This window comes from Homo sapiens, chromosome 3 (assembly GCF_000001405.40).
Source record: "Homo sapiens chromosome 3, GRCh38.p14 Primary Assembly".
Classification (NCBI taxonomy): domain Eukaryota; kingdom Metazoa; phylum Chordata; class Mammalia; order Primates; family Hominidae; genus Homo; species Homo sapiens.
The window spans coordinates 35302574-35329402 of NC_000003.12; the positions used below are offsets into that span (position 1 = coordinate 35302574).

Here is a 26829-nt window from a genome sequence, read left to right on the forward strand (position 1 = left end):
CATTTGATTTGTTAAATAATTAGATTCTTAAAACCTTTCTTTTCTTCTTTTATCTTATTAGTTAGTAAGTACTCATCATTTTTTTAGTCCAATAAACATTTATAAATGGCCATCATATGAAAAGTACTTTGGTTGGTGATGCTGGTGATAAAAAAGATAAATAGTATATACATTTGTTCTCCTGGGTCTTATTATCACAGGGGAACCAGAGAAGCATAAATCACACACACACACACACACACACACACACACACACACACACACAGAGCAAGCTGATACAAACTTTCTGAAAGACGGTCTTCCATAAAAGGAGAGGTACTCTAACATCAATCATGCAATCTCTGACTCCTGATTCCATGCACAATCATGTTAGGAGAAATATATGATTCTTAGCTCCAGGGGGATGTGTCCTGAAAATATCATGACTCCAATGAAGGGAAGTGAAAGTCATTAGGCATGAAATGTTTACAAAAAAGAAGAGTGACGGACTAGATACTATGCTTTGGAGAGTGGAGAAGGGAAGGCACTCTCCTGTTTTGACATAAAATTTCATATACCTTCCTTTGTATAGGTAACTGCATTTCCTCGACCAGGTATTATGAGAGCATTTAAAAAAGAATAACAATATCTGTATGCTTCTGACAAAATATACATAAATCTATACTTTACATCCTGCTTTAGATTAATTTAGTTCATGTTAAATTTCTCTGTTGCTTCAATTAACCCATGCTTTCATTTGGCTTTCAACCTAAATATTACTTGGACTTGGGTGAATTTAGCAATGATGCCAAGCTTTAATTTAGCTCATTTCCCTAATAATCCACTCCTCCATCTCTTCTGGGATCATACAGCAGAGCACCTGTAAAGACAGGTTTCCCAGCTTTACTTGCAGGATTCAGAGTAAGTCTTCTGCTTCAAGCTTTGGAAATATTAAAACCAGCCTGAGTCATTTCTTTAATATATACAGAATATTCAAAAACAGTTCTCAATTGAAATTTCTATTCAACGTAAATTGAGTCTTTCAACACTAAAACAAAACAGAACTAACTTTGAATGTTAAAGGCAGAAACCATCTTTCTACTGCTCTTGGTTTTCTTGGTTATCAGTTTAGTATTTTGAAGTTATACACAGCTTGTTACTCAGAATCAGAGCCTTATTATTTTTTGTTATTTTTTCCTTTCTAAAGCAGATCTCAAGCTTCATTTTCTTCTTTCGACATTTAAAGTCATAGTCCTTTCATTCAGCTTAATTGTCCTGATAAATCCTAAAAGTATTAGGAGAGTTTATTTTCCATGACATGGGAATTCTTAATGGATCTGACTTTCTTAAGAATTATTACATCACCATCTCACACCAGTTAGAATGGCAATCATTAAAAAGTCAGGAAACAACAGGTGCTGGAGAGGATGTGGAGAGATAGGAACACTTTTACACTGTTGGTGGGTCTGTAAACTAGTTCAACCATTGTGGAAGTCAGTGTGGCGATTCCTCAGGGATCTACAACTAGAAATACCATTTGACCCAGCCATCCCATTACTGGGTATATACCCAAAGGACTATAAATCATGCTGCTATAAAGACACATGCACACATATGTTTATTGTGGCACTATTCACAATAGCAAAGACTTGGAACCAACCCAAATGTCCAACAATGATAGACTGGATTAAGAAAATGTGGCACATATACACCATGGAATACTATGCAGCCATAAAAAATGATGAGTTCATGTCCTCTGTATGGACATGGATGAAAGTGGAAATCATCATTCTCAGTAAACTATCGCAAGGACAAAAAACAAAACAGTGCATGTTCTCACTCATAGGTGGGAATTGAACAATGAGAACACATGGACACAGGAAGGGGAACATCACACTCTGGGGACTGTTGTGGGGTGGGGAGAGAGGGGAGGGATAGCATTAGGAGATATACCTAATGCTAAATGATGAGTTAATGGGTGCAGCACACCAGCATGGCACATGTATACATATGTAACTAACCTGCACATTGTGCACATGTACCCTAAAACTTAAAGTGTAATAATAATAAAATAAAATGAAATAAAATAAAATAAAAACCTAAAAAAAAAAGAATTATTACATCTTCGGCTTTGAGCTTCTTACTTTTCATTTCAGATTCACTCCCATTAGACTAATAAATAGTTTGTTTTTTGCCATTGTTAAAAATCCAGAATTGGGCTTCTATGGAAAATCTCAGAGTTGAATATTGTTATCAGCAAATATTTAGCTGTATCTTGTTCCTTCTTGGCTTAGAAAGTCCTAAGGTGGTATTTCACTCTAAAAAAATACTCTTTAATTCATATGTTGCATTCCCATTTTTTATTTAATTGGGAATAAGTAGAATCCATCATCCAATGTTTTTATGACTTCTATTATAAGTTTTTGTTTCAGACATATTTTGATCTATAATGTAAATAGAAGAATAATTTCACAGAAGATTGTAGCTTCCATTGGGTTAAGGAGAATCTAGATCCATCAAAGGCATACATAATTAATGGAAAAGAAATCTTCCCATGTATATTTCAAGAAAACTATTAGAAAAGTAAAATAGATGCTTAAAATTGATCATTATTTCATTTCTTCCCCACTCTGCCTCAAGTACAGGTTTCATTGTGTTGCTCATGCTTTAACCCAGAAATAGTAAACTTACCAATTTATGTGCATTTCCCAAATCTGTGGATTTTGCTAGACTGTCATATTATCACTATAATTAACCTCAGCCCCAGGTGACAAAGAGTTAGTAGAGATAAAGAAAATTCACCCTCACACCCAATGGGTTATCCCTCATCCTTGAATCTTTGGTATTATCTATAGGGAATGCAATTTTTAATGTGAATCCCAGTTCTTCTCTTAAAGAAAGCATAATAACAAATAGCTATTTTAAAAAATATATTGCAGACTGGTTATCAACCTTTTAAAGGAATCCTTTGAGAATTTGAGAATGCTGAGTGATTCCCTTTCTTGCTTTGTGAAGCATGCATAATATACAGAATGCTGACGAGAAACTCTGCCAATCTGGCACCTCCAGATGGTTGGAAGATGGGAATTTATAAATTGGATTGCTACCTTCTCCAAATATATCATACATTTCCTGGTCATTTTTTTCCCTATAATATGCCTCATTAAGTGAAAAGTTTTAAAGACAGTTGGATAAATTGTGCATAAACTCGTATCCAGGTGCCCTGAATAACTTGTCTCCGCTTCTACATAATTCTAACTTAAACTTGAGGATTTTCTGAGGCCCTTGGACATTCTAGTTCTCTGAATCTTTGAGGCACTAATTAAACATGTGTGTGCTCTTAATAAACATTGAGGAATATTAGATCGACTTGAGAATATTAAGCTTATCTTCACATGCAATGTCATTGAGTTTAAACCCTTTAATATTTTAATCTATCTTTCACATTGTAGCTATAATAGTAAATTCTGACCAACTTGCTTATTCTTACTTATGGGAATTTTATTTGCAGAAATGCAAAGGTAATCTCTGTTCTCTAGGCCACACATTCTGGTAGCAAATATAGGGTTTTTGTTAACAATTGCAAAACAGAATCTCTACAATCTACCTCCCACTCACTGAAATATACATTCTGCTGTCTTTTGTTTTTTATTGAATATTCTCTTACTGTATGATTCATGATAGCACATCAGGACCAGAACCAGGCTCAAGCAAATGAGATATGTATATCATGCATAGAATTTAAGAAAGTAGTAAAATCTTATTAATCAAGCTGATTAATATCTTAATACAATTCCTTATTGCAATATTTTAAATTATCAAAAATAATGCAAAATTCATATTGTACAAAATATCATATTTTAAAATAAATATAGGGTCCAACTCTAATCATGCAAAATGCTGCCTCACATTTCTTACCTTAATTCTGGCTCAATGGCAAAACATCTGCCTTCTTGTTTTCCTCAAATTGCACTGTAATGGCAAAAAGTTATTTTAAGTATGAAACAAAAACAATTATAAACAGAAAGGAGTGCAATTCAAGTTTTCAAATAGTTAAAAGGTAAATAGTCGACAAGATTAACTTTAAAGGAAAATCACATTGAATTTCAGCCCAGACATAATATTTACGAGCTGAGTCCACAAATGTTCAGAGCTGAATCAACAAATACAAAGACAAAAATATTCAACAAATATCGAATGATCAAATGTAAAAAAAAAGAAAAAAGTTGATGTTAACAAATGTAAAGAGTAAGGGAAATCTGACAGAGAAGAGTTCATGCCAAACAATTGGGTATTTTTCCTCAATCATTTTAATCTAATCTAAGTTAATCTGTATTTCAATATGTCTCAGGAATGGGGTATTTTTATACTTAAAAATTGAAATCATAGAGAAGAACATAAATAAGAGAGAGGGACCAGGATGAATAAACAGAATCATAAATGCTAAATAAAACAATAAAATAATTCAAGGAACAAAATCTTAACTTGATAGATGCTAGGAGATATTGCAGACATAAAAAGTAGGAATAGTGAAATGAAAAATAGCAAATAGAAAATAAGGAAAACATTTTTAAAACTAGTATTATAGTTGCCAAAATCATTTAAGATAATTAACACATGGGTTGCATAAATACATTTTTAGAGTGGACATCTGAATTATTTATCTGGAATATAAATTCAGTCATATTCCCAGAATCCAGATTACTGAGGCAAGAAGTACTTGCTAAGGTAATTTAAACTAGCTGCTATATAAAACCACTTTGCCTAAAATTCATCCCTTGCTAAAAGTCAGTGAGCACTTCTGGAAAGCTCTTCTTTAAGCACTGAATCAGAAATCAAATCGTTTTTCATCTTTCATTCAACATCTTTTGGCTTCCAAGGTGCACTGGCATCTGTCAGCCTTCAAATATGAAAGGAAAAGACAAATGAGATAGACCACTACCTACTTACACCAACTTGTACTGAAAGGGACACACATGCCCCAGTTAGCTTACTTTTGGCCAGAACTGGCCATATGGATCTTAACTACATGAAACGGGTGCTGGGAAATTATGCTTTACTGTATTCCAATGGAAAATAAAATGGTTTTGTAACTATATGGGTTTTATCTGACATTTTCTAACTAGATCACTTGCAACAGAAATTTAGAGGTACGAAGGGAAATATCTAAGTAATCCATCATCCATCTAATGGAAATTCTAAATGGAGAGGAGCAAAAATAAATGAGGAGAAGAAATAATAAAAAAATAGAAAATAAGTGTTTGGAAATGAAGAAACAGTTATTTAATTGAGGTGGCATGTTGAATGGAAAGCAGGACTAATGAAGTATTATCCATATGTACACATATTGAATTTCCATTTCCTCAAAGATAAAAAGAAAATTCTAAAAGCTTTTAAATAAGAACAGAAAGTTATTTACACAGAAAACGTTATAGAAACAGCCATACACTGTCTTAACAACATTGAATACAGAAAATAATTTTAAAAGTCCTCAATTCTGAGGGGGAAAAAAAATCACCTTTAAACCTAGAGTTTCATCCCCAATCCAATATGAGGGCAAAATAAAGATGTTTTATTTATGAAAAAGGTTACAACATTCATTATTCTCTAAGTACATTTTTTTGTTTTGGTTTGTTTTGAGCAGGAGTCTCGCTCTGTTGCCCAGGCTGGAGTGCAGTGGTGTGATCTTGGCTCACTGCAACCTCCACTTCCCAGGTTCAAGCAATTCTCCTGCCTCAGCCTCTCAAGTAGCTGGAATTACAGGCCCATGCCACCACGCCTGGCTAATTTCTGTATTTTTAGTAGAGATGGGTTTTACCGTGTTAGCCAGGATGGTCTCGATCTCCTGACCTCATGATCTGCCCACATGGGCCTCCCAAAGTGTTAGGATTATAAGCTTGAGCCACCATGCCTGGCCAAGTACATTTTAAAAACATATTCATCAGGATGTAATTTCAATGAAATTAAAAGTAATTTAACTCAGGGGTAACATGAGCTAAAATAAACAATGACAATTGAGCATAATGCAGAATGGGAATGCTAGCAAAAAATAAAGTGTAATCTAACACACTGAAATACATATACAGTTCATACACTCTAACACACTGAAATACATATACAATTCATACACTCTAACACACTGAAATACATATACAATTCATACACTCTAACACGCTGAAATACATATACAATTCATACACTCTAACACGCTGAAATACATATACAATTCATACACTCTAACACGCTGAAATACATATACAATTCATACACTCTAACACGCTGAAATACATATACAATTCATACACTCTAACACACTGAAATACATATACAATTCGAAATTTTGTAAGATGTGAGGCTGCATTTTCTTTTACATGGTTTCAACTACACAATTTCATTATTGTATGAATGTGATGTACATGTACATAATCATAATATTATGAATACTATTATTGCTTTCTTTTTTGAAAATCAAAGTACCGACAAACCACAAATAATTCAATGCTATTTAATGAAATAGAATGTATATTCTATAAACCTTGTAAATGTAAAATACAATATTTATAGTAATAGGAAGGGGGAAGAGAGATGAAAGAAATAAAGTCCTTATTCCATTCTCTTTTATAGCACAAAATTAGTAGGTATTTTCAAAGCTTGATAAATCAAGAAATAAATATTAAATTTAGAATTTAATGCTAGAAGTGTCAATCTCTGAAAATAATAGTAATATATCCAACAATATTGGGATTAGAAGTTAGAAGGGAGAAAATGGGAAGGTGGGTAGTAACATATGAATGTTTTCTAAAGCAGGGAGATTGTAAAGCTTGTCTAGAAAACAATAATCAGGAATGAAGATATATATATACATCTTATATATATATATAATATAATCTTAAAATGTTAAACATTTCTTAATCTTAAATGTTAAACATAATCTTAAAATGTTAAACAAAGAAAAACTAAATACAGACATATTTTCGGTATTTTGTTATCTAATGAATGGGGTTAAAGGAAAGACTTTAGTAAAATTTTATTTCCCTTTCAATGGTTAGTATTTTTAATATGTGAAAACATTAATTGTATACCTGTTAAATAAAAATAAAATACCACATATATTATCCCAACATAAAGTAGTCCTCGGGAATTATATGCAATTTGCAGATTCTGTCAGGTTTCTCAGGAAGACGTGCTCAATTTGTAAATTTATGTGACCAGGGAATATTTATTAATAATGCCTATTTTTAACCATAAGACACTGTGTAACTATAAGTGCTATATGGTTAAATGGTACTTATGGAAATTGTCTATTATTCTAAACTATCCATTTTTTAAGTATGCAGTGAAGAGAAACTCTTAGCTTGGTGCTTTAAAAGGTGAAACAGAACTTGAAAAAAAGTGAGGCAAACCACTGTGACATTAAAGCAGAGTGTGAAAAACAGCAGAAAACTAGTGTCCAAAGGGGAGGAATTTGAAAATCAGTGAAACTTGGAGTTTTGAGAAGTGCGGAAAAGACTTAGTGAAGCCCTGGAAGGGATACTGGAAGTGCTTTGCCTAAATATCACTGGTTGCTATAAATCTCAGTCTCAGGAACCAAGATCAGCTTTCTTTTCTAGGCTAATATTAAAAACTTGTTTATAAAAAATACATACATACATATATGTCAAAAGATTGTAATATTCACATTTCTGACAATATACACAGCAAACATGTTATGATTATATCTTTCTGTGGTTTCTGTTTTTATCTTTGGCAAAAGATATACACTTCTGAAATTAAATATTTCAGATGTAAAGCTGTTGAAACTTTAAATTATTCGAAGCCTTGTGAGAAATGTGGCTATGTGGCCTGAGTCAGGTGGCATGCAGCTGCAACTTCTGCCTTTTGTTGCTGCAAATAATTAGGAAGACCAAATGGTACCAGAGATGATACCCCTTCTGATCACTACTGTCCTCACAGAGTAATACAGTTATCTTTCTTGGAATGTAGCAACGTGTAACCAATAGAATTCCTGTAACATGCACTGGTCTTGTGTGGGAAATGTTGTAATCCTGCTAAAATTTATCTGTCTCTGCCTATATAAGTGAAACCTTAACTTCTTTATTTTGGAACACTGACCCAATTTGAGGTTGGTGCTTCACAGGTGATCACCCTCAAGCTTTGCCCTTCAATAAACTCTAAACTTAATCATATTTTCTGAATCTTATTATTTAAGGTTAACATACTTATTTTTTGTTTTCATTTTTACCTTCACAGATATTTATGGTTTTATAGCTGGTCCTTTTTGGGTTGCCAATTTATTTTCTTACTGCATTTCATTAGGCTGGATTACTAAGGTTTGTTTTAAGGCTTTCTATAGGAATAAGTTTTTAAATTCCTTGTGAGTAGCTAAAAAGAAAGCTTTTATTAAAGTGTAACATTTTCAAATATATCCACGAATCAACCTTATTAGTCATTGTATTCAGACAATCTACTTCTTATTTTCATGATACATATAATATGCTATGAGTGGATGCTTCCATTGTATTTCCGTCAATTTATCCTTGCAATATCTGAGATATCTGAGTTATTTATTTAAATCAATACATACTGTGATGATGATAGATGGGTCCAAGTTGTATATATTACCTTTATCCTTTATCATTTTACATTATCTATTTTTATTTTGTTTCTTCTTTGGTGTGTTTGGTTTTTTTGTTTGTTTGTTTGTTTTTGAGACAGAGTTTCACTCTTGTTGCTCAGGCTGGAGTGCTGTGGTATAATCTCAGCTCACTGCAACCTCCAGCTCCCAGGTTCAAGTAATTCTCCTGTCTCCGCCTCCTGAGCAGCTGGGATTACAGGTGCAGGCCACCATGCCCAGCAAATTTTTGTATTTTTAGTAGAGAAGGGGGTTTCACCATGTTGACCAGGCTGGTCTCCAACTTCTGACCTCAGGTGATCCACCTGCCTTGGCCTCCCAAAGTGCTCGGAATTATAGGTATTAGCCACTGCACCTGGCCTCGATTTTTATTTTATTTGATATTTTATGCCCCAAACAAACTTAATTGACTGTTTATCATATACCAACTATCTTGTTTAATATGTCAAGCATTTTTTAAAATTAATTTTTAAAAATTAAAATTATTCTTTTAATCTTGAAATTTCTAAGATATATTTATTCAATATATGGGGTTAGTTTAAAATTTTCATCTATTAGAATTTTGTTATTTTAATGAGTACAAATTTTCCATTTATATTAATATAATATTTATATTTTGAATTAATTCTGCCTTTATTTCTTCTTTTAAAAACACTTTTATGTTTACATTGCTCTCTGCCATTTTACTATATAATTTTTTCTCCAGTTGTTTTGTGGTATGCTTTTGTTTGAATAAACATTTTTATTCCTGCTAATTTGTAACATAAGATTCCTTTTAGAACTTGTAATGGTTGCTGTTTTAATGGGAATGTTTTTAACCATCTAGTCTCTGATTTAGTAGACAGGATACATAGTCTTCATTAGGAGAGCTGAGAAAACTAGCACAGCCACATCAATCTCTCTTTTCCCTTTTTTAATTTATTGGTCTTATGTGGTTATTGTCTTACTTTCAGTTTTTTGTTATTGTTATTACTGTTTTCTGTAGGTTCCTCTTATTAGTTTATATAATATACCTAAACCTCTGTTTCTTTCTTTTATTCAGTGTAAATATTATCTATTAACTTTTGGGTAAGGAAGATATGAAAACCAGCTCAATTACCTTTTTTTTCCTTTCTCCTGTCCACTTTGAGAATTTTTGTTGTTGTTTTTATATTATTGTTCAAATTTATATTGTAAAGATAATAATTTGTGATATATTAAACAACATATTGCAGAATTGATTTCTTACTTGTTATACATTGTATTGCAGTGATTCTCAGCCATGTCTACCAAGTGTTTTTCTCTCAACACTTGATGAGTGGACATCCACTCTAATTTGTGCATGTGTATGTGTGCATGTGTGTGGGTGTGTGTGTATCATAATTTACCTTGTTGCTGTGGTTTTGAGCTGTTTCGATTTGAAGAAAATTACCTGACAATTTTATATGTGAATTACAACTTAACTATCTATAATATGCTTTTCACATGGTTCGCCTTGAAACTGTTTCTCAAACTGAGCTACATGTTAGAATCAACAAGGGAGCTTTTAAAAGCCCAGGTTATACCCCAGAACAATTAAATCAGAATCTGTGGAACTGAGGAACACACACTAATTGATTTTTGTTTGTGTTTGTTTTCTCAATAACTCCTCAGGTGGTTCAGTGTTCAACTAGTTATCAAACCAGTGTCTTAGGATATGGTGAGCCTCACTCAGCTACACCTAACATTGGATTTGAGGCCGGCCCAAATTTGCACAGGCTGCTCCCCCAGTCGCAATCCCACTACAAATTGCATTTGACTTCCTTTTTCCTAAATAACTTTTTCATTGTTTTAAAAATTCAATTGTTAAACATTTGTTTATGTATTGATTGTGCACAAATGTTGCTAGAATGTGATATGCCTTTTAGATCTTAAAATTTTATTCTTTCTTCAATTCAGAAACATTTTTATTACTTACCTATACTCTTTTTAAATTTAATTTTGTCCTGATCCGAATTTATACTTGTTAAATGGTTCAATATTATTTTAAATATGGTCAATCTAAGAATTAAACTGTCTTTTAAAAATTCATTAGAGTATATCTTTTTATTCTATGCTCTGATTCTTCCACTTTTTCTTTTCTTTAGAGCTATTTTCCTATATCTGGCCATGTATTTTCATTTTTGTTCGCAACTTATAGGAAGTATTATTTGGCTGTACAGTATTGGAAATTGCAGTTCTGTTTTGTCCATGTTAGACATTTTCTCACGTGTTTTTTTCTTCATAGCTATATTTTGCATATTAAGAAATTTAGTGGCTTGTGAGAGGCAGGAAGCCATTGCCAAAATAATTTCTTAGGAAACAACTTCATTCCTTGTTCTCACCAAACACCAAGTGAACAGCCATGTCTTTCCCCCAACTGGTCAGCCTTTCCTCTCTCTGTAATAGCTATGTGAATATTTTTGCTTTATCTAGCAGGCTCCCATGTTAGTGAAGCTGGATGTGTTTACTAAAGCTAACAGCTCCTCAGCTATTGCTAGTACAAGTTGGGTTAAAATCTACCCACATCAAGTGGATCTGAACCTGCCCCCTTCTCTGTCCTAACTGTAAGCCACACATTGGCTGTAACTTTCTTGCTCTCTGTACCTCTTTCACTTGTATTCAGTTTTTCTGGCATCAAAGAGTTAGTGATGCACCCATGACATCATTAGAAGTTATTTTTGCCAGGCAGGCATGGTGGTTCATGTCTGTAATCCCAGCACATTGGGATGCCAAGGCAGGTGGATCACGAGGTCAGGAGGTCAAGACTAGCCTGGCCAACATGGTGAAACCCTGTCTCTACTAAAAATACAAAAATTAGCCGGGTGTGGTGGCATGCGCCTGCAGTCCCAGCTACTCAGGGGCTGAGGCAGGAGAATTGCTTGAACCTGAGAGGCAGAGGTTGCAATGAGCCAAGGCCAAGCCATTGCACTCCAGCCTTGGCAACAGAGCGAGACTCTATCTCAAGAGAAAAAAACAACAAAAAAAAGAAGTTACTTTTTCCTTGGCCATCATTAAGTCAAGAAAGGATTGGTGAATAGCATAGGAAAATATGATGATATCTTTTGACAGCCCAGATTTGTTCTCTTTCTCTCTTGACTTGAGTTTGCCCAGGTCTGTAGCTCTGCTTATCATCTTATCACTGCTTCCCAGATGGGCTTTACTTCTGCAGGTGTGAAATTGCTGCTGCTCCAAACTCTGTCCATCCTATCACAACTGCACAATACCTCCCAGAAATACCAAAAAGCTTCTTGCTTATTTGTTGTGCTCTATTTGTTGGGTCATTTCAGATAGCATTGGAAGACAAGGAAGGTAAATGTGGGACCAAGTCTCCATTTTGCTATGAAGTGATCCCCTTCCATTATTATAAAATGCTCATAAACTTACACACAGAAGTAGCTATTTCTTCAAAATCCACTTTTGTGTCATTAATCATCTCAGCCCAGCAAAAAAAGAGTTTTAAAGTTATATGAAAATAAAAGTTGATCACAGAGTTAGTGACCTCTATTTCAGAGCTGAGGAAATCCTGTGAAATCAAACTTCATATGCTATGACAGAAGTATGGGATTTTAGTCATGCCCTCACTCCACCCACTCACGACTGGTAGCAATTGTTTAGAGTCATTTGTTACTGACTAGTGGCCTGACCCATTATCTTCACATTCCTGGAATTTGTGAAACAAACAATGTATAACCAATCAACAGTTTATGTCATTTTAATGGAAATTTTTAGTAAATAACTTAGGGAATTGCCTCTTCTTTCTCTTTAAAAATTCATTTACAATTGCTGCTAATGAGACTATATATTCAGAGCAACTTGAATGTATGCTCCCAGATTGCACCCCTCATGCTTGGCCCACATGAACTCTCATATATTTTGTTTTAATTTTGGCTCAGCTTCTTCCTTTTAGGTTGACAAAGACAAGTTGAACATGATGTATTTGATGAATGATAACCTTCTTTGGCATTGCAGAAATTGCCACACACACAGGCATACACACACACGTTTTGTAAATGATTACAAAATGCCATTCTTCAAAAGCTGTCATTCTGAAAAGCAGGTCTTTTCAAATGCTTGACATTTTAAAAAGTACAAATTGAATGATGAAACTGTTTTTAACCTTATATCAATATAGGCATTTGTTGAAAAGCAAATTGAGTGGTATGCTTGGTAAAAAGTGAAGATTATTAAAATGTTGAAGACTTTTAGGAATCCTCTAGCAGCCCTGGAGCCTATAGGAGGTCTAGCATGGACCATAACTGCGTGAACAGTGAGTGTTATTCAAATCTGGACCAACCAATTCCAAGCAGTCTAAGGCTCCAATCTGTGGTCATGGCCCCCAGAGGAAAAAAAAATTATCATTCAACTGCCTTGTTATACAAATAACAAAACCGAGGTCAAGAGATGGTAGATTACAACGCAATTGCTAGTTACATTGTTATCCTAGATAAGAGTAACTCCTGTCTTATTTCCTGATTCTTCCCCCAAGATACTTAGTGAGAGAATAGAGGACCTATGTAGACATCTTCCAGACAATCCAATCAAAGTTTTACTATCAAAACATTACAAATCCCATACCCAAAACAGAAGAATTCAAATGATCTCTAAAGTCCCTCACAGTGTGCAGTTCAGAGAATGAGAAACATTACTATGCTAAGGCTTAACACATTGAAAAGGAGATTCTGAGAAGAATGAATTTGTTTTATCCTCATAATAAAGATACAGGAAATTAATTTGTTTTAGAAAGAAATGCTGATAGACCTGAAGTAAACACTGTTATGGAACTGTGTAAAGCCCTGAAATTGATTCTTTGTGCCGAGTTGTGTTAAGAATATAGATTGCACTACCTAATTCATTAGACAATTAATACAAAGATAAGGTTATATTATTTTGGACACTATTTGCAGAACTGACATTTACAAACTTCTGATAGCTAAATAAATTTGAGTTAAAAACAAAAGAAATATGATAAAATACATCTGAGTTAAAAACAAAATAAATATAATACTATACAGTGAAATATGCTTATATAAATACACACTTGAGACAGATGATATCATACATAGACTTAAATATATTTCAGAATCATCGTTGGGGTTTTGTTTTGTTTTAGTTCAGTTTTTGGTGGGGTAGTGAGATAAAGCCCCAGGAAAAAGAAAAATGTTAAGGAAATCACAAAGGAAATCCAAAATTAGGTTGCTAAGAAACCAACCCATTAGAGGAACAGGAAGTAATCCAATAGTGCAAACCTTACATCTTTCAATCAAAAGTTTCTGTATTATTCTTAGCCTGAATATCCCAATTAGCTATGCAGTGAAAAATAAACACATGACATTTAACAAACCAGGTCACGAGTGAGTGGTAGACTGAGAATCCCAATTTTTAACAACAACAACAAACCAACTTTGCTTTAAAAAAAGAAAACTTGAAAATAGATATACATAAAAATGTGAGGAGAAGTCATATTTACATTGCTATTGGGGGTAGGAATGAATTAGGTGCCAGATAACATTGTATTTCAAGATAAGGACCAGGCCAGGTGTGGTGGCTCACGCCTGTAATCCCAGCACTTTGAGATGCCAAGGCGGGCAGATCATGAGGTCAGGAGTTTGAGACCAGCCTGACCAACATGGTGAAACCCCATCTCTACTAAAAAAAAAAAAAATACAAAAGGTAGCTGGGTGTGGTGGCACACACCTGTAATCCCAGCTACTTGAGAGGCTGAGCCAGGAGAATCACTTGAATGCGGGAGGTGGAGGTTGCAGTAAGCCGACATTGCACCACTGCACTCCAGCCTGGGCAACAGAGCAAGACTCCATCTCAAAAATAAATAAATAAATAAATAAATAAATAAATAAATAAATAAATAAATAATAAGGACCTAGAATATGCAGAGCTTTGTACTGTGGATTATTTGAGTTTCTTCTACAAATTGCTAGCAAGATTAACCAAACTCAGCTAATTCAGTCAATTTAAGACACAAAGGATTTAAACAACAGATGGCTGGTTAAACTATATATATGTATAATATCTGTAAGCACAGATTGTACTTTCTTTTCAAGAGACTACCAACTATTCAATTTTAAGATGTCTATTAAGCTATGACACCAATTAAAAGTGTTTTAAAGAGGAAAAAAGCAATTATCTCCATAGATGTAGAAAGTTATTTTATTAAATTTGATATCAGTTCTTGATGAAAACTCTTTTTTAAAAAAGTAACAGTTGCTATTTTAACATGGTAAGTATATATGTCAAACCAAGATATATATATTCTAAAATAAAAGTTGGCAACATGCTTGTCATTATGTAATGGGAGCATTCCTGTTAAATACGGAACATGACAAGTAAACATTTTATCACCATTAACAGTGAAGAGCTTTGAAGAGCTTCCAGGAGTGTGCTCCAATGCAATTACACAAGAAAAAAAAAAAAAAGCAAGCTCTGCTAGAATTTAAGTTCCATTAGGGTCATGATTTGTCTCTAATTCAATACATATTTACTGACTTAATTTTCAAAGTAATAAATGAAGACAAAAAAGGCAAAATCATCTATATTTGAAAATTACTATGATCATTTATTTAAATACTCTAGAAATGCAACTAATAAGCAATTAGATCTAAGAGGGGAATTCAATATGTTGGCTGGTTACAAAGACATAAATAATTCACAAAAAACTTCTAGAATTTATATGAAGATGATTTTAAGACTCTTAAGGCAAATGAAGAATATTTGAATAGATGGCATAACATACTTAATTTGAAGCTAGATGGAATTCATATTTTTAAAGTAGCAATTAAAACTAAGTTAATCAATAAATTTGATCTTTAACTATTAAAACTGAATGTATATTAAATATAAAAACTGGAATAAGTAAGAATAACCAGGAGCAAGGATACATCCTGTCAAGTATAAAATATTTCAGTTAAAAGAGTTTGTTAATATTTCCGGAATACATTCAGTAAAACAGAAAGTACAGAAATAGATTCAAAGAAAGATATAGCATAAAATGAAATTTGTACCTTAAATCAATGAAAGAAAATGGACGAATTAACAAACTGAGGAATAAAAATGGAGAATAATTAAAGTCAATTTACCATACTTCCAAAATAAAATGTTATAAACGATGATATATGAAAGGCTGAAAACAGAAGAAAATGTGTGAGAACTCAGAGCCATAACAAAATGAGAAAGTGAAGATGACTACATTCGTTTTAAAAGGTAACAAACATAATGTCAAAAGACCAATGATAAACAGGGAAAATTGCAGTTTTTAGCACACATACCTTACACAGGATTAATTCCAGTTATATGTATAATCAAACATACTCCTTGACATTATAAGAAAAGAAACAAATCCCATTTAGGAAAAAAAGGGGGGAAAGAATTTCAGAAGAAATTGTATAGAAAATAAGAAAAATAAAAGATATCTTTATAACATATAATAAATATTTAAACATTTTAATGCATTCACAACTTTAAAATATGTATTAAATAACAATGAGACAGCACTTTTAACGAAACAGACTGACAAAATGTTGGTTATACAAGTGCTGGTAGACATGTGGAAAAACTCAGCCATCCAATATGGTAAGGGTATAAATTTTGCTTGGAAATTTGGCATTGTCTATTGCAATTTAAACTACACATTCTCTTTGACTTATATTTGGCTTATAGGAATCTTCCTTAGATCACATGTCCTGTGTCAAAGGCTGAATGTCATTTAAGAGAAAGAACTCTCTCAATTTAAGCTACTCTAATGTAATTCTATATTTTAGTACAATAATATTGAAACACTAGGTCTTGTTCCTTAACCAAACCAAGGCTCCTATACAAAGGACATATTCCTAGGAGAGTGCTGAGCTTAGTCGGGTAGAGGAGTGAAGTTAATTTGGCATTTTCTCACCTCCAAAGACTTTAGCAAACTCACTTATAGTGGTAAAAGCCATTCTCTACTAAATAGCTAGAAGGCAGAAATTGTCCTAGACATTACATACACATCCCTTCTAATCTTTCCATCACTCATCAGGGTAAATAATCTTATCTGCATATTTAAAACAAGGGAATTATCTTTTCATGAGTGGAAGATAAATTTTAGACCCCACAGGAGAAGAGAGATGATAACATAGTAACCCATTTTGTGTATGAAGGGAGTGAAGGGTATTAGCATTCCAGCAATAGCTGATCTCTCCTTCTGAGCCTGGAGACAACTCAGTATCACCTTATGTTAATCTCTAGGTCAATGCAATTAGTTTCACCCTGAGAAAAACTGCTTTCTTTAAATTTATATAACTTAACACCACAAGCTAGAAGTCAGCAGAAGTTAAATTTCGATTTATAAAAGTATACTTTTAATCATCTTGCAGTATAAAGAAAGAAGCTTAGAGGTTCTTTATACCAAAGCTAGGCAGAAGAAAATCTTCCTGAGTACAAGATTTGCTCAATGCAGTAGACTATTTCTGTGAAGAAGATCGGATAATTCTTATTTATGAAAGTCTGGGTACCATTTAGGATATGTACAGCTACAGAATCTTTAAATCCTTCAGACACTGGCTTCAGAAACAGGAACTTACAGACTTATGTAAGAAGAAACAGAGGTGGAGAGTAGGTTCAGGACAACTTAACAGATTGGTTTGATGATATTAGAGCTTCCAGTCAGCTTCTCTGTGAACTTCCCTCAAGGTTTTAAAATGACTGCTAGCTAATAAGCATCATATGCTAAAAAAATAGAGTGGGTGGGGGGGATTTTAGATATGTATTTTTTCTTAAGAATAAAGACAATTTCCCAGACGTCCTCACAACACTTCCATTTATATCCCATTGACCAGGGTGGTGTTTCATGCCCCTATCAAAATAATCTCTGGAATAGCAAAATAATCTCTGGTCAAGATTCTGGAATTCCCACAGGTAGTTCACTTTAATCAATATAATGTATGGGATTGAAGAGAAGCCCACAAAACACATATGGCCAAGCCTGAGCAACTAGTATCCGAAAATCTCTCATTGCATCACATTGTTTTTTCAATGCAGAAGAGCAAATAATGACTCCTCAAGACATTTTTTTAATGTTTTATTTTTTCTATTTATTTCTCATATAATTCCTTGTGTAAAATTACTAAAATTGATGCATTTTCTTTTTTATTTTGGCACATTAAGTCTTATAAATATATCTTATAAAATTTCATAACTATTAAATTATTTCTCCTTCTTAATTTTTTGCCAGTAGGACCAAGATTGCTAGCATAATCCCCAAAGTAACTCTAATAGTTGAAATGATAGTACATCCTGGTTGGTAAATCTCTTATATAAGTAAATAATAAAATATTACTAATTAGCTTTTTTATTCACTCTTTTGCAAATGAAGCTTTCAATTCAGGTGATTCCACAATCTCAGTTAATTTCAAAACCACAGAACTGAAGAAGCCAACTAATTTGGAAAAAAAATCTGTGGATTTATTTTATTTCTACTGATTGAAATATATTGGGTTTTAGAGGAAATGTCTTTTAGTTCCAAATTATGTATATTGTGCAGCCTCTGTATGTATTTTCTGAGTGATTTAAATGAATTTGAATCAGCTCATTAGGTTCCAGACTGGTGCTGAACATAATGACTCATTCCTAAATTAATATTGTCTGCCCTGAACTACTCCTGTCTAAATCACTTTAATCACTGAAAAGATTCATACTTTTCAAAAGGATGGCCACATTCAAATGAATTCTGCAACAGTTCATTAGGTAATGATGTCATTTTTGTTCCCTGGGTCAGCAAATGTGTTCCTGCTTAGCTGTAAAAATGGACTGACTGTGAGCAGATAAACAGGTACTTTGTATGCATTTGACATTCATACATGCACAGAAGGGAGGCATTATGTTGGCATGGAATGTTTCAATTTGGGGCATTGCTATGTTTCAGATTCAGCTTCCCCCAACCCCGCTTTTTCTTTCCTTTCTTAGCTTAGCAGCTGTATAGGACACATGTTCCTGTCTTTCAGAAGCAGTTAGGTGTCAAATCCTTTGTCACATCTCACTGACATTAGGCCATTGAAAAGGAGTTTCTTACAGCATTCTAGCTGAGGCATAATATAAAGCAAACTCTTAGGAAGAGCACCATGTTTGACACTAAAATTCAATGGCACTCAAATGAAGGCTACTTCAGGAAGACCCTAGAAGCAACAGACATGATCACAGCCTTATGGAATAGTAGGTTAGCAGGTAAATAATCTCAAACTTTCTCCTGTGCCCCTTGAAGTTGTCAGCAATGACAAGAACAAAATGACAAACTGAATGTGCTTAGCAACTTAGCATATTGATGAGTTACCTTTGAAATCAACTCATCCAATGGTTCTGGAATGTGTATCAAAGAATAAATACGAGGCCAGTTCTATATGCATCACCAGGGGAAGAGTATTCCGCCTTATCCTAGGAGGTTCTCCTTCAAGTGAGAACCAAAAGAACTAGCAACTTAGCTCACAGTTCCAGAAGTAAGATAAGAACTTTAACTGTAGCCTCAATAGTGAATTCACTGATTGACTAATCTATTAATTCATTCAAAACATTTAGTATGTAAAACATCCATGTGTTATTGAGTGCTTACCATGAGCTAAATATAAAACAAGTATTTTTTAAATATTCTGTCTCACTTTCTCTTTATAATAATTCTATGAAGCAAGTATTAAGAGTCACTATTTTAAAGATAAAGGTATTTAGAGATGTCATATTGTAATTGCCAAATGGGTTCTTCCTGCTTGCTGCACAAACAAAACCAATTCACTGAGACCATGGTATTGCAATAAACAAAGAGTTTAATTAACACAAGCCCAGCCATGCAAGAGAAGGAGTTATCACTGAACTCAATCTCCCCAAAGGCTCAGAGGTCAGGGCTTTTAAAGGATAGTTTGGGGAGCAAACTAGGAAATGGAGGCTGCTGATTGGTTGAGGATGCAATCATAGAGATGTGGAAAACAGTCCTTGTGCACTAAGTCTCCCTATGGATGGGGGCCACAGGACTGGTTGGGTCACGAGTCATAAGTCTGGCTGTGGTCAGTCTGGAAAACATTAAAACACTAATTTCCGGTTCTTAGTAGTGATGATATCTACAGGAACAATTGGAGAAGTCACAAATCTTGTGACCTCTGGTCACGTGACTCCTGAGTAGTAAGGAATTATAAACACTATGCCTACATCTTGGCAGAATTCAGGCCCCTCCCATAATTATAATCTTGTGGTATTTTATTATCGTACAAAGGCAATTTTAGGACAAGGAGAGAATCAGTTTTAGGGAAGCACTATTATCATCCTTGCTTAAAAGTTAAACTGTAAACTAAATTGCTCCCATGGTTATCTTGGCCTATACCCAGGAATGAGCAAAGACAACCAGCCTGTGAGGATAGAAGTAAGATAGAGTCAGCCATGCTAGATTTCTCTCACCATCATAATCTTTGCAAAGGCATTTTCAATTCCCTTCTTGGGTTTCAGCACACCTCAATCCTGAGGTGGGAGCTACAGAGATGGGAAAAGGCTGATGATGCTCTAACTTCTTTCTGCTGACAGAGAGTATAGCTGTGGTTGAGACTGGCCCTGGGGTGAGAAAAATGAAATCACTTTGCAGTTGTCTGCATGTATTCAGGGTGCCTGGTTGGGGTCCTAAGGTTTGTATGATAAATATTAATATTGTTACGCACAGCTTTGGTACAGCACTTAAGTGAACAGTGGACCGTAAGACAAATAATGAGCCCTCAAATAAGGAGTGAGATTCTTAGCTTCGGGAGTCCATGTAGAACTTACCTGAAGTCTTGAGGCATCCAGGTGAGTATCCTCAAGAACTAATCAGATATGCAGTCATAAGCAGAGAGTCAAAGACAATGGACAAGGCTGGAATCTAATAATAGGTATAGTTTTAATTTGCATTTCTCTAATGATCAGTGATATTCAGCTTTTTTTCATATGCTTGTTGGCCACATATATGTCTTCTTTTCAGAACTGTTTGTTCATGTCCTTTGCCCACTTTTTAATGGGGTTGTTTGTTTTTCTCTTGTAAATTCATTTAAGTTTCTTATAGATGCTGGATAATAAGCTTTTGTTGGATGCACAGTTTGCAAAACTTTTCCCCCATTCTGTAGGTTTTCTGTTTACTCTGTTGACAGTTTTTTTTTTCTGTGCAGAAGCTCTTAAGTTTAATTAGGTCCCATTTGTCAATTTTTGATTTTGTTGTGATTGCTTTTGTTGTCTGTCATGAAAGCTTTGCCCATTCTTATGTCCAAGATGGTATTGGCTATGTTGTCTTCCAGAGTCATTATAGTGTTGGGTTTTACATTTAAGTCTTTAATTCATCTTGAGTTGATTTTTGTATATGGTGTGAGAAAAAGGACCAACTTCAATCTTCTGCATATGGCTATCCAGTTATCCCAGCACCATTTATTGAATAGGGAGTCTTTTCCCCATTGCTTGTTTTTGTCATCTTTGTCAAAGATCAGATGGCTGTAGGTGAGATACCATCTCACACCAGTCAGAATGTCTATTATTAAAAAGTCAAAAAATAACAGATGCTGGTGAGGTTGCAGATAAAAAGGAATCCTGATACATTGTTGGTGGGGGTGTAAATTAGTTCAACCATTGTGGAAAGCATTATGGCAATTCCTCAAAGAGTTAAAAGCAGAGCTACCATTCTCCCCAGCAATCCTATTACTGGGTATATACCCATGTGAATATAAACCATTCTACCATAAAAACACATGCCCATGAATGTTCACTGCAACACTATTCACAATAGCAAATACATGGATTCAACCTAAATGCCCATCAATGACAGATTGAATAAAGAAAATGTGGTGCATAGACACCGTGGAATACTATGCAGCCATAAAAATGAACAGATCATGTCTTTTGTGGGAACATGGATAGAGCTGGATGCTATTATCCTTAGCAAATTAACACAGAAACAGAAAATCAAATATTGCACATTCTCCCTTATAAATGGAGCTAAATGATAGGAACTTATGAACACAAAGAAGGAAACAACAGACACTGGGGTTTACTTGAGTGGGGAGGGTGGGAGGAGGGAGAGGAGCAGAAAAGATAACTATTGGGTACTGGGCTTAATATCTGGGTGATAAAATAATATGTACAACAAACCCCTGGGACATGTGTTTACATAAGTAACACACCTTCACATGTACCCTTAAATCTAAAATAAGAATTTTAAAAAGTCTTTATGAAAAATAAATAATAAAATCACTTATGAAAAGTTAAAATAAAATTAATATGTGTATTACAGTATTTTTCTGAAACATAATTTTTCTCTCTTCAGTTTTCCATTTTTACCAAAGACAAATCATAGTAGGACAAGTTTCTTTGCAAAATCAGTTTTAGTCTTATTTTTCTTGGTCTAATTATTCACAGACAATGCAACCAGAATAATCATTTGCCATATAGGCTTGTTTAAATAGGCTTTGCTGGAACTTTTTCATAAGGAATCTCAGATTAAACCTTTTAAAAGCCTCCCAAGCCTAGCCAAGGATTTATCTGTGCCTGCAGATACCTGTATGAATTGGATGAATTCCTCTCTTCTTAAGGTCCCAACATAACTTAAGGTTCCTGGGTCTGTCAGAAAATGACATTTTCTAATCACCACAGGTCAAAACCCTGTACAGGACAAAGTATTAGGCCAGTCTCCCCAAGGGAATGTTATTGGCTTTATAAGTCCACCTCAATTCCTCAAAGTAGTCTGAATACATATCATTCTAGTCAAAGCCTTGGTAAATAAAAAACAAACAACAACAACAACAAAAATCTAATTATATACTGTTACAAAGGAAACTAGATGCTTATTGAGCTTATACAAATAACTGTATTGCCATAAATAAAGAATACTTACAAATAGTTTCCAAGTTCTGGAGAAATTAAGTAGACAGAAAGAAATATATTTTACATTTTGCCCACAAGAGTAAAATTTACTCAATAGCTTAAAAGCTGTAAATATCTCAAAAGTAAAGAAGATTTTTGAGTCTAAAAACAAAACAAAAACTATCAGTAATGTTTCAAGCAAAAAGTCATAAAATGATTATTTCAGTTTTCTATTAGTTCAGTCTGTGCAACTAACTCCTGTTCTGTGTTCTTGATATTTATGAATGCATCAGCCCTCCACGAGAGTCCGGGAAGTTTGTTTTCACTATTCCACTGGCACAGTTACTGAAGTTATCAGAAACCTGTATTCAAAAGTACCTGTTAAAGTCCTACAGCTGATTATAAAACCACCCTTTGAAGAGGATCAAAGTAAAACAATTGTGGATGATGAAAGTCTCAGAATAGCCATTATTAATGATGCAATTGACATGGAAATTTTGATATTTTTATGGTGTATAATAATTTAACATAACAATCATAATTATTACTGATAACATACGCTAAGTCACATCAGAATTATGGGAGCCAGAGCCAGGTGTGGTGGCACACCTCTGTAGTCCCAACTACTCAGGTGGCTGAGGCAGGAAGATTACTTGGGGCTAGGAGTTTGAGGCTGCACTGAGCCATAATCATGCCACTGTACTCATCTGGTGACAGCAAGACACTGTCTCTAAAAAGAAAAAGAAAACACAAACAAACAAACAAAAAACCAAAAACAGAATTATAGGAGTCTCACACAATTCTGGAATGCACACTAATAACATATTTATACAAATACAGCCCAAAAAAAACAAACACCATTTCATAGTTGACAATGCTTCCTCCATGATTTTCACATACCAGATAAGCCAAATATCTCTTCTGGACTTCAGGGAAGCTAGTATCTAAATGTTAATGATGTCAACAAGGGCTGCATTTATAACTTTAAATTTTGATTTGGGAAGGTTTATCAAATATTATAAGTTTAAAACACTTGATATCACAAAGTAATATCACAGATCATTCATCTATTTGAAGTGATAACTCAAAAATTTCAAAAGGCAAGAAGCTTTTGTCTTCAATAGAGGAGGCTCAGCTTTCCAAACAAGACCAAATAAGACAACATGTGGCCAAGTAAACCTGTCTATTCGCTCTTTTCTTGTTTTTTCCTTGTTTTCCTACAATTTACTAGAAAGGCAAACAAAAATATTTCTTTATCTCTCAATATTACACAACAATCTTGTTCAAAAGAGAAATGCAAATTCCACCTTTGCATTAGTGTACTATTAATGTTAAACACAATTTCTAATGAAACCTTATAAACAAATCTATCCATTCTTAATCATTTTGACCATAAGGTAAGATTTTTATAAAACTTTTGTAACTTTTTACAATTTTCTATTAAAGAGCAGATCAATGCTCCAAGGAAACCATGTTATTCTGACATATGGGCCCAGATTCTGGTCCTGTATCAGTGTGCTTTCTATCTTAATGTATAATTTATAGAAAAACTAACTAACTCCCTTTAGGTTTTGGCCAACTTGCTCATGCCGACAAAACTTCCTTTAAAATACCAGTTTTTCACAAATCTACTTTTTCTTTGGTTTTATTCTACCATTCTTTTAACTTAGGACAATCCTTAAAATCTCTAAATGAGACTGAATTACTTTCCCTTTAACAAAAACTATATCCCCATGCCTTCTTATAATCTTTTACCAAAACACATTCCATTTTCCTTATACTCCTCACATGTAAAACTATGTCCCTACCAGTCTCAATTACATATGTTACAATGTTAACTCTTAGCAACTTTTATTTTTTGTGATGAACCTAGTAAATAAGCAATTTTAACCATATATCAGATTGCAGATCCCAAGACAAGGACAGAACTGTAGACAATGTCTGACTTTTCCCAGCATAGTAAGGTGCTTGGCTGACACCATATGTCCACGGGTCTTACCTAGAATCTAATGGCTATAAAACAGGCAAGTCAAACCATTATCAAAAAGGTCACAGAAGAATTTTTTGTCCTTAAATCGTCTAGCAAAGACAATATACAACATGCCCAATTCAAATGAAATGCCTAAATTTTGAGGACATAGATTTCTCTCACTATCACAATCTTCGCAAAGGTGGTTTCAAAGTAACCTGCCTAACACCTTAGAATGCATAAGGGGCAGAAATAAGATTTCACCTTAGGTCTGTCTAACATTAAAGCATTCTCATTTCTCTATTTTCCACTATCCTTTTATGTCAAGACTGGAGTTGGTGGAGTGGAAAATACAAGAGGTATGAAAACTATTACTTGTATTCAAGGGGACCACTCAATACTCAATTGATTATATTTATAAAACAAATTACTCCAAAACATAGTGGCATAAAGCATCTATATTGCTATGATAGCAGACTCTTTGTGACAAAAATTTGGACAAGACACAGTGGGGACGGGTATTATCTGCTTCATAATATCTGGGATCTCAGGGGTGGGAAGACTCAAAGGCTGGGGTATGACTTAATGGCTAGGGGCTAAAACCCTTTGTTAGGCCATTCTTGTGTCACTATAAAGAAATACTGGAGACCAGGTAATTTATAAAGAAAAGAGGTTTAATTAGCTCATGGTTTTGCAGGCTTTACAGGAAGTATGGTGCTGGCATCTGCTTGGATTCTGGCGAAGCCTCTGGGAGCTTTTAGTCATGGCGGAAGGTAAAGGAGGAACATTCATGTCACATGGTGAAAACAGGAGCAAGTGAGAGTCAGAGGGGAAGTGCACACTTCTAAATGGCCAGATATTTTGTGAACTTAGAGTGAGAGCTCACTTATTACCAAGTTGATGGCCCAAGACATTCATGAGGGATTATCCAAATACCTCTCACCAGGACCCACCTCCAACATCGGGGATTGCATTTTAACCTGAGATCTGGATGGAGAAAAATATCTAAACTATATCAAACCCTTTTGGAATTGTCTGCATTACAAGTTTGATGAATGATGCTGGAAATCTGATAGGAGTACAGCTAGAGATATCAGCTATGACATCCACCCATTGCCTTCCTATGTAGCCTGAGGTGCCTCCTAGTATGATGGCTGTGTTCCTCAAGCGAACACTCCAAAGAAAGTAGGAAGAGGATGAATTACCTTTCTGTGACCTACTCTTAAAAGTCAAAGTTTTATGTCTGCTCTGATCACAAGCCTGCCTAGATTCCAGATGAGAGAACACAGACATACTTCTCAATAAGAGGAGGGTCAAAACTGCACTGAAGAGCATAAGGAATGGAAGACAGTATTAAGGCCATATTCAGTAAATGAAATCTGCCACATTCTTCACTTGACTAAAATCCTATAAAGAAGCCACTAGATTGGAGAGCATAAGCTAAGCAAGTAACCAAGGGCTACGAGGTATCTCCGTAGACTTAAAGAAGTAAAACCCCAAGTAACCTCTAGAATGGAATTCTAAGCCGCATGTTTAAACTGCTACTGATTTGAGCTAGTGGCTGGTGGTTGTTTTTCATGCAATCCTTTCTTTTATTCAGGAACTTAATTTTATTCTGTGTACCCTTGTGCATAGTGCAAAAGATCTCAAGTGATCCTAGGGCTCTTTAAGCAGAAAAGCTGTCAGTTTTTCTTTGTATTAAGTAGAAAAATGGTTTGAGGAAAGACACATAAGATAAAGCTGCAAGGCAAAAGCCCATGTGTATTAGTCTGTTCACACACTGCTAATAAAGACAAACCCAAGACAGGGTAATTTATAAAGGGAAGAGGTTTAATTGACTCACAGTTCCACATGGCTGGGGAGACCTCACAATCATGATGGAAGGTGAATAAAGAGCAAAGTCACGTCTTACATGGTGGCAGGCAAGGCAGCATGTGCAGGGGAACTCCCCTTTATAAAACCATAAGATCTTGTGAGGCTTACTCACTATCATGAGAACAGCTTGGGAAAGACCCATCCCCATGATTCAATTACCTCCCACTGGGTCCCTCCCATGCCACGTGGGAATTATGGGACCTACAATTCAAGATGAGATTTGGGTGGGGACACAGTCAAGCCACATCACCATGTGAACATCTGAAATGCAAGTGCCATTGTAGAAAACATACAGCATTGAAGAAATGAATTCTGCTATGAATTTATTTCATAATAACTTTTATGATTTTTTTTTACAAAGGTTACAATTAATATGTGAAACATGGGGATATTTCTGCAATGTGATTCTAACTGCAGCTAATGCATGTTTTTTTTTTTTTTCCTTTTTTAGGAGTGATTAAAATGGAGAAATCTCTTTTTAACCTGCCACCACACCAAAACTTTGTAGGCCATTTTTTTCCGCTCTGCCATCTGGAAT

At 34.5% G+C, this 26829-nt stretch overlaps 1 long non-coding RNA gene across 1 annotated transcript in view; it reads right to left on the minus strand.

Annotated features, from left to right (window-relative positions):
* LOC101928135 (uncharacterized) overlaps positions 1-26829 on the minus strand; it is a 518229-nt gene that overhangs the window by 426779 nt on the left and 64621 nt on the right. The window contains exon 2 of the long non-coding RNA NR_110817.1: positions 3898-3951. This is a non-coding gene — a long non-coding RNA (uncharacterized LOC101928135). The remainder of the gene's footprint in view (positions 1-3897; positions 3952-26829) is intronic.